The 15106-nt window shown below is 35.9% G+C and overlaps 1 protein-coding gene across 13 annotated transcripts in view; it reads right to left on the minus strand.

Annotated features, from left to right (window-relative positions):
• The window catches only part of ACAP2 (ArfGAP with coiled-coil, ankyrin repeat and PH domains 2), a 168276-nt gene that overhangs the window by 45863 nt on the left and 107307 nt on the right, over positions 1-15106 (minus strand). For all 13 annotated transcript variants that reach the window (NM_012287.6, XM_011512603.3, XM_006713557.4 and 10 more), the window contains 3 exons: positions 12421-12516; positions 6278-6352; positions 94-206 (listed from right to left, as the gene is read on the minus strand). In NM_012287.6, coding sequence (NP_036419.3) covers positions 94-206; positions 6278-6352; positions 12421-12516 — 284 coding nt within the window. The remainder of the gene's footprint in view (positions 1-93; positions 207-6277; positions 6353-12420; positions 12517-15106) is intronic.

The raw sequence follows: 15106 nt of genomic DNA on the forward strand, positions 1-15106 counted from the left end.
AAAGAACTATAAAGGAGAGAGTTGTCAAATCACAGGGAAAGTCAGAAAATCAAAACTATGTATAGATCAAGACTAGTATTTGAAATATATTACCTGTTCCAAGTTTTGAAGGCATTGCTGGCTCGTTTGAACAGATATCCTTCCATAACTATGCCATTTGCAGCATCTACGTTATATTCTAACTTAGAATCATCACTGGAGAAATCCTACACAAAATAACACATAAAGAAGTTCATATGACTTGACTAAGTTTCCTAGACAAGAAATGGATCCTAAGAAAAGAGTTCAAAAGGAAGAAAAGGTTTATATTAAGACAGTTACAACAATATTAATAAGAAAAATGAAGGGGGACTTAAATGATCAATAATAAAGAAATGTTTCAATACATTAAAGTATTTGACTTTAGTGGATTATTTTATGCAATACTTATTGTGATGACGTAAGGACATATAATTATATAGAATATAGTGCAAAACAGAAAATAAATCAATATAAACTATATATACATTGTGATTAAAAGCACAAAATAATATGTATACAAATAAACAAGGGAAACAACTAAATACTACACAGGGTATGACGTTTAAAATTCTTTTGTTTTATCACAACTTTTTTTTTTTTTTTTTTTTTTTTGAGACAGAGTCTCGCTCTGCTGCCCAGCCTGGAGTGCAATGAAGTGATCTCAGCTCACTACAACCTCTGCCTCCCGGGTTCAAGTGATTCTCCCGTCTCAGTCTCCCATGTAGCTCGAATTACGGACATACGCCATCATGCCCAGCTAATTTTTGTAGAGACAGGGTTTCACCATGTTGGCCAGGCTGGTCTTGAATTCCTGACCTCAGGTGATCTGTCTGCCTCAGTCTCCCAAAGTGCTGGGATTACAGGCATCACAACATTTTATGGTGATATGTGTTAACAATTTTTTAAAGTATATGGTTATATTTAATTGGGATTATTTAAAGTTACCACTATTTTCTAAATATATTACTACCATGGTAGTTCCTTTTTTTTTTCTTTTTTTTTTGAGACTGAATCTCACTCTGTCACCCAGGCTGGAGTGCAGTGGCACAATCTCAGCTCACTGCAACCTCTGCCTCCCCGTTCAAGTGATACTCCTGCCTCAGCCTCCTGAGTAGCTGGGACTACAGACGTTTGCCACCATGCCCAGCTAATTTTTGTATTTTTAGTAGAGACAGGATTTCACCATGTTAGCCAGGCTGGTCTCAAACTCCTGACTTCAAGTGATTCACCTGCCTCAGCCTCCCAAAGTGCAGGAATTACAGGTGTGAGCCACTGAGCCCAGGGGTGGTAGTCCTTCAATCTGACACTGTCTATGGCATTTTTTCCTAAAATAAAATTTAGTTTTCAAAGGAAACAGATCTTAGTCTACAGTTTGAAGTGGGCAAGTTGAACTCACTTTTTTATGAGTACTATGAAATCACTCATAGTCTTCTTCTAGCGTTCTAATTATCTAAATCTTCACCTGAATGCAATTTAAACTTCCAATTTTCTTCCACACATTCATGAAGTTTGGAAATCAGAAATTCAATATTTAAAATATTGCCTAACAAACTTCAAAGCATTTTGAACACAACTCTAAGACTGCTGTTTTCAGCAAATTTAAAACTCTAAAGCCAGTCCCATAACTTTTAAAATTCCTCCTGGACCAATAATTAAAATTAGAATTCTACCCTATTAAGGAGCAGTAAACGTCCTGTCTTGGGAAACATTTTGGCAGTATCTACTGAGATGCTGGGGCCTTGCACCAGAGGGAAGGCAGAGGGACAACCATCTAAGGGCCCTCCAAATTTAAAAGTGTACTAAGTCAGGAACAGGAAACAGACTAAATTCAGAATTTCAAAAGAGAAAAAAAAATAACCTCTCCTGACACCTTTGAAACTTTAACCACGAAAAGACCTGATAATCCAAAATAATCAAATGAAGGAGAATCTGTAAACAAATTGCTACATTGCTTCCTACTTTTTCTTTGGGGGAAAAAAAAATCAGGGAAACTTTAATGCCCTCATTTAAAATTTATTTGACGCTACAATTTATTTAATTATACAGAGAGAATTAAGGAAGCAGTAAATATAAATATAATTGACTTTGTTAACATTCTAAAGGTTTCATTTGTAACATCTGCAGTTTTTCAAAACCTTGGTCAACTTAAAAGACTTCTTTGAAAGTGCAGGGCATTACAAGTGTTTCTCTAATTTTCAACTATACTTCTTGAGATAAATTGTCTTCAATTTAATTACTATTAATATCAGCTAATATTTTGTAGTACTTAAAATGTGACAGATTTCATAACTTTAGCAATGAAATATGTTGGATGAAAGACATAGTGTTAGAATCTCCTTAAATACACTGATGACCTGACAAACTAGGAAGGAATACTCAAAGGCAAGAGACTGAGTGAAAACTGGAATTCAAAGAGGTAAGGAGAGCAAGGGCATCTGCCTATCAGGAGAACTTGAGTTTTGGTGTGAGGTCCAGGGAACAGAATGCAAAACCAAGGCTGGTCAAAGGGGAATCTAATAGAAACTTTCCCTTTGAAACAGCAAACAAGACAAGAAAAACCATTATTACCACTCTCACTCAAGATCATGATGAAACTCCTAGCCAGCAAAATAACAAAAAAAGAGTACAAGATTGGAAAGAAAGGAAAAAACCATCATTATTGGTAGATGATAACACTTCATACACAGAACATCCAAAATAATTGAGAGATAAATCAATATTAAAAGAGATTACTAGTTACAAAATCAATACAGAAAAATCAATTTTATCGCAAACAGAACAGTGGTAAAATAAATAAATTTAAAGATAACATTTAGAATACAAGTGTCTAGGAATAAATCTAACAAAAGATGTACAAGAAAAATCATAAAACTTTATGAAAGCCATTAAAGAAAACTTAAATGGAGAATATACCAAGCACACAGATTTGAAGATATAATAAAGATATTAATTTTGATTCATACAAAATTGAAGGAGGGAAGGTAGGAAGCTTTGCTATTAGATATCAAGAATTTGCCGGCCAGGAACAGAATGACAAACATTCATGTTCTCACTTATTTGTGGGATCTAAAAAATAAAACAACTGGACTCAGGGAGCTGGAGAGTAGAAGGATGGTTACCAGAGGCTGGGAGTGGTGGTGGGAACTGGGGGTGTCAGCGAGTGGGGATGGTTAATGGATACAAAAAAAAAACAGAATGAATGAGACCTAGTATTTGATAGCACAACAGGGTGACTACAGTCAAAATAATTTAATTGTACATTTAAAAATAATTAAAAGAATACAATAGGATTGTTTGTAACACAAAGGATAAATGCTTGAGAGGATGGATACCCCGTTTTCCATGATGTGATTATTATGCATTGCATGCCTGTATCAAAATATTTCATGTACCCCATAAATAATACCACCTACTATGTACTAACAAAAATTAAAAATGAAAAATAAAAATGAAATAAAAAAATTTTTAAAAGGATTTGATCAACAATTAGGCAACCTGGTGGGAAAATGAGATAAAGACTAATAGTTCACAAATAGGATATCCAAATGACCAATGAATATAAGATGCCCATTAGTCACTAAAGAAGTCACTCTAAAGCCAAAAATAATTAAGACAGCATAGTATTGACAGTTTAGACAAAAAGACAGTGAAACAGAATAGAGAAACTGAAATGGGCCTCACATATATGGAAATGTGATATATAACACAGGATATACCACAGAGCATTTGGGAAAGAGCAAACTTTTTAATAACTAGTCTGGATCAACTGACTACCAGTGAGAGAATTAAAGGAAACTAGATCTCTACCTCACACCACACACAAAAACCCAATTAAAGACCTAAAAAGCGGCACGGTGGCTCACACCTGTAATCCGAGCACATTGGGAGGCCGAGGTGGATGGATCACCTGAGGTCAGGAGATCAAGACCATCCTGACCAACATGACAAAACCCCATCTCTACTAAAAATACAAAAATTAGCTAGGCATGGTGGCGTGCAGCTGTAATCCCAGCTACTTGGGAGGCTGAGGCAGGAGAATCACTTAAACCCAGGAGGCGGAGGTTGTAGTGAGCAGAGATCGCGCCACTGCACTCCAGCCTGGGCGACAGGACCAAAATAAAATAAAATAAAATAAAAAATAAAGATCTAAAAAGCAAACCTATAATACAAGAGATATCTCTTCATGATCTTGAAATGGAAAGGATTTACTGAACAACACACAAAAAGCATCAACCGTAAGACTGATAAAAATAAGCTATATGAAAATTAAAAACACATATGCCTCAAATATATTATGAATTTGATCAAACATCAGGCAGCCTGGTGGAAAAATGAGAGAAAGATTAACAGACGTTTTACAAATAAGATATGCAAAAGACCAATAGATATAAGATAAGGTGCTTAAGCTCATTAGTCACTGAAGAAGTTAAAACTACAAGAAGATGTCTATATCTACTGATCAAATGGGCCAAAATCTGAAAGTCTCATAATATAATGAGCTGGCAAATAGGAACTCTCATATAGTGCTATCTGCTAAGATAGTATAATATTTTGAAAAACAATGTAGCATTATCTACTTATGCTAAATGACCTGCTAATGCTAATACACCTTCTAACTCAGCAGTTTTACTCCTAGGTATAAATACATGAGAAATGTAAAATGCGTGCACGTATCTGCACATGAATGTTCAAAGCACCACTGTTTCTCCAATTGATCAATTTAAATTTTTGAAAAAATCTACATAACTACAGGAGACATACTTTCCCTTAGTTTTTAGTGGACTGATTTTTTTTTTTTTTTTTTTTTTTTTTTACCTGTAACGCAGCCTTGTGTCAGCATTTAGGGGCAGAAAAGAGGTCAGTATTCATAATAAGCAAAAAATAGCATCATTTTCTTTAAAGGAAAACAGTTGAATATTATTTAAAATCAAATAAATTATTCTTAGAGTTAATAATTTACCATTTTTGAAGCTTCAGTACAACACTGAACTGTGTCCACAATAGGAAAAGATATTAAAAGATGCATAATGTTTATTAAGTAATTCAATTTAAGGAAATATTCAGATAGTTCTACAAATACCATGATATCTCATTTTAATTAAAAACAATTGGTCCCAATTTTTAGCAATCTTTTCATGATCATGTCATTAAAACTCATTACCCATGAACACATCATACTGTACACTCTAATTATGTAAAATTTTTATCTGTCAACTTAAAATAAAAAGTTAACCAAACAAAAGTTAATCTAACTGTAAACGAAACAAAATAAAACGTGGAGTTTGTCTCACCTGACACTAACTAGAAAGTAACTAACTTAAAGATGGTCTTGTAGAAATCTTTCCTTTAATTATTTTTCTTTGAGCATTAATAATCCATCATCAATTAAATTTTTCTTACTTTTATTATGATTTTGTTTTCATTTTTTTCCACTGACATCTTCTATATCAGATCTAGTTTACTGGTATTTTAAATTCTAAATAAACCATAAAAAAGTTGATTTTACTGCTCAATACCAAGAAAACAGATTTCTTAAAGCAATGCCAGAAGGCATCCTGTGCGTACTTATATTTCTATATTCAACTTCAGCACTCTCCTTTTATTTTCAGATAACTACACAAAAAGCACCACTGACTTTATAAGAAAGTTGAGTTGCAGGAATGTCACACTAAACTCTTTTAGCATGAAGAAATAAAAACTGGTTTAATATTTGAGTTCTCATTTTTAAAAATATTTTCAAAGTAAGTTTAGCTAGGCTTAGACAATTTAACAGGCAATGCAAGTGAAGTTTTAGCATCTCGTGACAGAGAGGAAAGGCTGCCTTGCAGTGACTGCAGTTGGAAAGTCTGTAAGACCAAACACGCATGTTGACACTAAGGTGCATCCACACCCTCTGCCCCACAACACACACACGGACACACACTTTTACAGGGAGTTGGTGGTATCCTAAATGTAATTATGAATAGTGTTTTGAATTCTAACTAAAGGCCACTTTTAGCTTAGTTAAGTTCCTAAGAGATTCAAATTTTTATAAACTGGTTCAAGAAGCATAGCTTTCAAAGATCTGAAAAAATAACAAAATACATACCTTAAAATCTGAAGAACATTTTGCTCTTCAAAAACAAAAGAGGAATTTATCTGCACAATTATTAGAACAACTCAAAAGATTTGTTCCAATACAATGATACCTTGCATAAACCAACACCCAAGCCATTGTATAAAGTGGAATTAATTTTTAATTTTTCCCCTGAGGTACCTTTTGTTGAATGGTGGAATGTTTTTGCTCCATTTCTCTTTTCTCCTTTGCTGCATCCACAACCAGTCGATCCAACTGTAAAAAGGGAAAAGAGAAAACTGCAGACTTAAAAAAAGTATGGATTAGTTTTTCAAACCATATTCCAAATCATTTCACAGATAAATAAAAAATCACTCAATTTAAGCTGATTTAATAAAGTTTTGGCTAAATTTTGAAGTAGAAGTTCATATTTTTTTCTGCTATCAAGTTCTCTTTGAGAAGATCCATATCTCCACTAGAAAATAAAAATTTCCAAGAACAGTCATGGTGCCATACATATACGATTGCAGACCGTGTCACAGGTACCCCAGTGATACACGTTCAATCCCTGAATAACGAAAATGACTCTAGCTTAGGCTCCTGCTGACCCACTAAGCAAATTCTGGTAGTTAAAATCAAAGACACGAAGAAGACACTAGTGACTTCTTTCCCAAACAGCAAAAAGCAGTGCAGCTAAACTAGTATTAACCAGCTAACCTAGCTCTCACAAATTCACTCTAACAGCTACTTCCAACCATTCAAGATGCTTCTTCATGTTTTCAGGTTGGCTCCCTAATGTCATACTCAAATCTAAAAAGAAGAAAAAATAATTCATGAGATAAAAGAGAAAGCTAAAAATAATAATAATAAAAGAATAGTAATCATTCATAAGACCAAGGTAGGAAATCGGCAATTCTTAAGGCTCATTTTTAAAAGCTCAAAAAACTTAATAAAACCATAAAACCTGGCCGGGCGCAGTGGCTCACACCTGTAATCCCAGCACTTTGGGAGGCCAAGGTGGGCGGATCACGAGGTCAGGACTTCGAGAACAGCCTGGCCAACATAGAGAAACCCCGTCTCTCCTAAAACTACAAAAAATTAGCTGGGCATGGTGGCAGGTGCCTGTAATCCTACCTACTCGGGAGGCTGAGGCAGCAGAATCACTTGAACCCACGAGGCAGAGGTTGCAGCAGGCCAAGATCGCACCACTGCACATTAGCCAGGGTGACAGTGCAAGACTCCATCAGCCCTCCACCAAAAAAAAATATATATATATGTATATATATAACCCATTTTTTTCTTGTTCCTTGGCGTTAGAAAGGATATCCATCATGAGGGAAGTATTTGATTTCCAGTAACATGTCACGAGAAATGCACTGGCTTCTTGAAATCCTATTTGCTAAACTAACAATAATTGGGTTATACATTATTAATTATGTGGGTTTCATTGTCTAGACTATGATGATGCCTTTCCAACTCTGAACCTCCATCACCTCTAAATGATTAACACATGTTCGATAAGTGAATAAATTAAAACATACATATCAGATCAGCAGGAATATGGAGAAAGATAAGCATTAAATGTCTACACATTTTAAGTTATATTTTTTTAAAACTAAATTTTTAAAAAGTCTTTTTCAAAAAAACTATTTGATCCCTTATCACAAATGATGTTTTTTCTACAGAAGAATAATTCTAGTCACAGATAATATTACTGAATAGTAATAAAGATTAACCAAAAAAAAATCCACAATGAAACAGATCTATCACTATTATAAAGTACGTGATACAGGTGGCAACTATGCTACTCTATGATCTAATACACACATACCTTAGTGACACGTAGCATTGATTTAGTGGGTAATACCGTACATGGTGCGCTAGAAAAATATACTCTCACAGAAGTTTCTTAAGCGGAATGAGTGGACTAACCATCCTAGGGGTTTTATGGCTCTGAGTGGCATATGAATATTACTCATTCATTCAGACTGAAATGCAGTACAAGGTAGCCCTCAAATTCAAAATATTTACAAATATGCACGCATATACTTTACATATGAATTCTGCAATGTAGGTGATGGTCTTCTGCCTAATTGGTAAGAAATGTCTCTTGCGGCTGGGCGTGGCGGCTCACGCCTGTAATCCCAGCACTTTGGGAGGCCGAGATGGGCGAATCACAAGGTCAGTAGATCGAGACCATCCTGGCTAACACGGTGAAACCGTGCCTCTACTAAAAATACAAAACAATTAGCCGGGCGTGGTGGCGGGCGCCTGTGGTCCCAGCTACTCGGGAGGCTAAGGCAGGAGAATGGCGTGAACCCGGGAGGCGGAGCTTGTAGTGAGCCAAGATCACGCCACTGTACTCCAGCCTGGGCAACAGAGTGAGACTCCGTCTCAAAAAAAAAAAAAAAGAAAGAAAGAAAAAAGAAATGTCTCTTGCATCTCTAACCAAAAAAGTGGGGACAATTCTCCCTCTCTGATGGGGAAAAAGAATAAAGAAAAAATATCTTTCATGATGGTTGGAGTTTGGGGGAAGGCATGAGTTGGGGAAATGTGAAGACTGGCAGAGTCTTATCTTCTAGACATGGGGAAATGTATCAGGAAGATAACTTGGAGCAGAGTAAAAAGGGTCCCGTGTTTGTGTTAGTACTGGACATTATCAATGTTAATAGGTTCCTATAACTAAGCAGGTATCCCTGGTCCTTCTGTGTTTTAAATCCCTTCCACTCCCACAAACCTCAGATCCCATCACTTCTCTTTCTCCTTTTCAACTTCTCCCTCTTGAACTACCATCTGCTTTTAAGTTGGTGCAAACCATTCTACCTTAATAAAACTGCTAACCCATACTCTTTTTCCAGCTACCACATTCTTTCCCTCTTTCCTTCATAACACAACTTCTTTAAAATATTACCACCTTCTGTATCTGCCCATTTCATATTCATCTACCCACTGTCATTCCGCTTCTACTGCCTGGGTCCCCAGCTCCATGGAAACAGCATCTCTCACAGAGGTAACAACTTTTTGCTGCTAAATCCAACAGGTATTTCTCAGTCCTAGGTTTACTTAACTTTCTAATAATGGAAGCTGATAACCACTCCTTCCCTTTGAAAGACTTTTCCTGGCCTACAATGCCAGTCTCCTGTTTTTCCACTTCCTCACTCATCTATGTCCTAACGCAGCTTCTCTTACCTTAGCCATCTCAAAATTTAGTCTTTCTTATGTCCCCGCCCCAAGTCAGCTTCTCTTTTTACTCAATACCAGTGGACCTCAGCCTTAACTTACAAAATGAAAATCTTCATGTATGGTGTCTAGGCAACTAGATTTTTTTAAATAGCTCTATGATTCAGAGATATCTAACTCACCCCCCATCAACTCACCCACTCTTGTGGTTGCAATCAGCAAGTATACGCTACTGATTCATTTAGTCTATCTCCCTCTTGAGCTCCGCATATATCCACTTAGACGTCTTATCCTCACAAATCAATATATTTAAGCATGAATTCGTCACGCCCTTCCACCCTCGAATTGGCTGTATATTAACCCTCAAATCTAACCATTTCTATCTCTACTGCCATGACTTTAGTTTCAGATGCCATTATCTACTAATTATGAAAAGAATATCGTAATTGGCCACCTCCAACCCGGCCATCTTATCCACTAGGCACTATAGGCTCTGGGGCTTAGATGTTTTTCAAGGACCTGCAGACTTATTTGAGATCTAGAGAGGGGGTAAACCTATAAAACTAAAATGATTAAATGTTTTAAAAACACATAATTTTTTCAGCTAGTCAACTGCAATTCAACTCATACTGCTTTTATAAATTACACTGAACATAAGATGAGAGCGCAATCTAATATTTGATAGTGTGTGAGGAATGTCTAAAACCCAGGAAGGTCTCTCCTTACCCCCAAGTCTGGCTTACATGTCCTGTCTATATGTTCCTGCAACACTTTGACCCTTCCCTATATGGTGGAAAAGGCCAGCTGTCCCTCAATATCTATTTTCTCCTTCTTCCTTAACAATGGAACCCCTAAATTCTAGCAGGTCACGTGGCTACCTGGCATTAACGTTAATTTCCCTTGCAGCTATTGTGACCCTGCGACTAAGGACTTGGCATTGGGATATATGTAGAAGTGATATGTACAATTTCTAGGAAATGTGCTTAGAGAGAAAACATATCTTTCATTCTCCTTTCCTTCTTCCCATTAGCTGGAATTTGGGTATGACAGCTAAAGCTTGATTAGCCACTTTGAACCATGAGGTAGAATCAAAAAACATAAGCCTGCACTCCTGCTAACCAAGTGGCCACCATACCATGTCTTTGACTTTACATAAGAGAAATAAAACTCTTTTTTAAATTACTAGTATTCTTGGTTTTCTATTACTTGCAAACAAACCTCATCCCAACTGTTACACACACACAAGGTATTTAGCACAGAGATTAAGAGTGTGGTGACTTGTTGGCTTCTCCCAAGAGACTAAGTTCTGTAGAGGCAGAAAACAGAATACATGTAATCCATGGCATACACCCTACATGTCTTTCCCCCGTCTCAACACACACACACACACAAACCACAACTCACATATACTCTGGTCAGTAAATGCAATTCCCATTCCACTCTTACCTTTTTCCTTAAACTCAATTTTTCTTTTCCTTTTTTTTTTGAGGCAGAGTTTCCCTCTGTCACCCAGGCTGGAGTACAATGGCCCGATCTTGGCTCACTGAGAACTCCACCTCATGCCTCAGCCTCCCGAGTAGCTGGGACTACAGGCATATGCCACCACGCCTGGATAATTTTTGTATTTTTAGTAGAGACGGGGTTTCACCATGTTGCCCAGGCTGGTCTCAAACTCCTGGCCTCATGTAATCTGCATGCCTCAGCCTCCCAAAGTGCTGGGATTACAGGCATGAGCCACCATGCCTGGCATAAACTCTATTTTTCATCATCAATCCCCTCCTCTTGGAAACTAAACTGAGACACCTTGAGAAAGAAAATCACCTAAAAATCGACAGTGTTAAAATAAAGAATGTTCGTCAATAAAAAACAATGTCCCCCGAACAGATCTAATATAATGTTATCATCAGATATGAAAAAATAATTTGAATATAATGACATTTTTATACATATAAAATTTGTATGTATATGTATAGAACTATTACACGTAGCCACCAGGCACAGTGGCTCACGCCTATAATCCCAGCACTTTGGGAGGCTGAGGCGGGCAGATCACGAGGTCAGGAGATCGAGACCAACCTGGCTAACACGGTGAAACCCCATCTCTACTAAAAATACAAAAAATCAGCCGGGCATGGTGGCGGGCACCTGTAGTCCCAGCTACTCAGGAGGCTGAGGCAGGAGAATGGCAAGAACCTGGGAGGTGGAGCTTGCAGTGAGCCGAGATCCCGCCACTGCACTCCAGCCTGGGTGACAGAGCAAGACTCCACCTCAAAAAAAAAAAAAAAAAATACTATTACACATAGCCATAGATAGGCCACATGTGACTGCATGAAATGAAAAAGTTCCCAAGAGCTCTATAATTTTAAGATTCTAAAATTTTTTTATTCAAATAACAAGATACAAGTTTTCAGGAAATAAAAAAGAGCTATAACTCAACTGAAAAGCAAATTGGAACAATAACTCAATTATCCAAATGTATAAAATTTAAATATAAGTCCAGTTATGTAGACTGCAAAACAAACACTTTGTTTTTAAATTCTCCTTTTCAATACCTTCACATGCAAACTATAACATAAGGTTCTTTTTACCTTTGATTTCATTTTTTGGGTATACCCAAAACGCAAACATTTGAGTATTTAACCCATATATAAATCTGCTATAGCATCCAACTTCATTCTTCATTAAGTAAATAAAACATCAAGTCCTCCTTGATATGATTTGGCTGTGTCCCCACCCAAAATCTCATCTTGAATTATAATCCCCATAATCCTCACGTGTCAAGAGAGACAAGGTGGAGGGAACTGAGTCATGGGGGCGGTTTCCCCCATGCTGGTACTCGTGATAGTGAGTGAGCTCTCACGAGATCTGATGGTTTTATAAGTGTTTGGTAGTTTCTCCTGCGTTCATTCTCCCCTCTGCTGCCTTGTGAAAAAGATGCCTTGCTTTCCCTTTGCCTTCTGCCATCATTGTAAGTTTCCTGAGGCCTCCCCAGCCATGCAGAACTGTGAGTCAATTAAACCTCTTTCCTTTCTAGATTACCCAGTCTCAGGCAGCTCTTTATAGCAGTGTGAGAACAAACTAGTACACCTCCAATATGCTAAATTTCTTTAAAAATACAAATACCAATGTATAAAACAGAATCAAGAAATATACTGCAACATTACCTGTGCACCAAGATCCTTCATGTAGGGTCCAAGTTCACTAAACAGATCATATCCTTGATGAAAGAAGGCCAAATGGGCATACATAAATGACAACATCTAATAGGGAAAAAAAGATGACCATTTTAAAATCTATTCCTAGATAGACATTCTGAAATATTACATATATATATAAAAATATATAAAAGACAGGGTCTTGCTCTGTTTGCTCTGTCGCCCAGACCTGGCATGCAGTGGCATGGACACAGTTCACTGCAACCTGGACCTCCCAGGCTCAGGTGATTCTCCCACTTCAGCCTCCTAAATAGCTGGGACCACAGGCATGTGCCACTATGCTCAGCTAATTTTTTTATTTTTGTAGAGACAAAGTCTCGCCATGTTACCCAGGCTGATCTCAAACTCCTGGGTTCAAGCAATCCTCCCACTTCCGCCTCCAAAAGTCCTGGGATTATAGGCGTGAGCCACCATGCCCAGCTCACCAAATCTATTTGAAAATTAAACTGAGTCATCTGTTTTAAAAGTGTATTTCAAAAATATTTTCAAATACAATGAAAATAAATTTTATTTAAAAGAAATTTCCCAGTGGTTTAACATTTTTAAAATGCTCAAAATTTTAGTTGTTTAGACTATATCTAGGTGATCAAAATGTATACAGCAGATTCAAATAATCCAATTTTCAATAACTCTACTATCTTCCTAGGTCCATTATAAAGTATTTATGTGCTCCTTCAACCAAGCTCACTGACAAACTTTAAATTGCAAAAAAGACAAAAAGATAAGAGAAATATAAAGTGCTCAAAATAAAACACAAACGCTTTACAATCTACGAGAGCACAAGCATAACCTAAAGTAGGAGAACGCTGGGTTTTTCTCTCAAGATACCAAAATAAAATGAGTCAACCGAATTTGCCAACATGGAAGTTTCTTTACATTCATTCCACAAATCTAAAAAGCTGACATTAATGGGCAGAGATTTGTCCAAGTTTTCCTATATCTTACCTATTTTAAAGAGAAAAATCACCCTCATTTTAATTAAGTTTTTACATGGAAGGAATTACATAATTAAATGAATAATACTGAAAAAATATTCTAAACATCCATATTATTTTCAACAAGTGGCATCTGTTCAATTTTCTGACGTCTAAAACAGGTCATAAAGTCCTTAATACTCAAAAATCCTCCAAAAAAAACTATTTTCAAAAAAAAAAAAACCATTAAAACACAGAGGCAAAAGGATAAAACTCAGAAGAGGAAAATTATTCTGGAATTAGATAATAGTGATCATTGAACAAATTTGTGAATAAAAACCAATAAATTATTTTAAAAATTGATTAAAAATTTAAAAAGAGGGATGGGATTAATAGCTAGGACTACATAAAAATATAAAATATGCCTGTACATCAAAATGCAAAACAAGCATATTAAAAGACAAATGATAAACTAGGGAAAAACCCATGACAAAGAGTTAACAGACTTAAGATGTAAGAGATGTTATAAATCAACATGAAAAAGATGAACACTCCAACAGAAAAAGAGACAAAGGACATATGAGGTACATAAGTGGCCAAAAAACACGGAAAAATGTTCAAACTCATTTGTATTAACAAAACGCAAAACTGAATAATGAGATCATGCTTTCTATCCAACAAACTAGGGGCAGCATGGGGGAAAAACTGCAATGCTCAGTGTTGGTAAAATGTGGAGAAATATCCATTTTCACACAATATTAGGGGAAATATTGTATAACCTTTGAAATTTGATGATATTTTTCTAAAGCCTTAATCCTTTGACTATGTAATCTCTTGTTTATAAATAAATCTATCCTAAGAAAATAATAAGATTATTCATTAGAATGATCAGGACAATGCTATGTTCTAAGGTCAAAAACAAGGAAATTATTTGAATATTCATTAATAGGTGAAATTAATTTATGGTATATTCCTTCAAGGTCAGTAAACTATGACCTGCAAACTTTATCAGGGCTCACCACCTGTTTTTTGATAGTCCATGAGCTACGAATGGTTTTTACATCTTTAAATGATTTAAAGGCAATGAAAATATATGAAATTTATGATATGTGAAAATTATATGAAATTCAAATTTCTGTGTTTATAAATAAAGTTTTATTGGAACACAGTCATAGCCATTCATTTACATACTGTCTCTCTCATTATAATAGCACAGTTGAATAATTCCAACAGAGACCATGAGGCCTGTAAAACCTACCATATTTACTACCAGGACTTTTACAAAAAACATGTGCCAACCCCTAGAATATTCAGGTGGTAGAATTCTACCTGGCCACAAAAGCCATCATTAAATAAAGGATATTTAATGACATATAACTTTGCAGTGTATTAGTGAAAAAAGAAAGTTATAAAATAGTATGTAGGAATGATTCCCATTAAAAAATTAAATGTGATTTTAAAAGGCATATATTCAAGTTCATGCACACACACATGCACACACACAGAAAGAGAGAAAAAGACAAAGATGTATGCCAAGATATGAATAGTGGCTTCCCCTTGGTAGCAGAATTTCTAAGTAGTTTTTATTTTTCTTCATACACATTCTAATTTTCTACAATTAATACACATTACTGTCAATCTCGAAAACAAGTGGGGTATAAATATTATCTTTTAGAAAACAGGAAGTACAATGTGTTTACCTGATAAGATATAACACAAAT

This window comes from Homo sapiens, chromosome 3 (assembly GCF_000001405.40).
Source record: "Homo sapiens chromosome 3, GRCh38.p14 Primary Assembly".
Classification (NCBI taxonomy): Eukaryota; Metazoa; Chordata; class Mammalia; order Primates; family Hominidae; genus Homo; species Homo sapiens.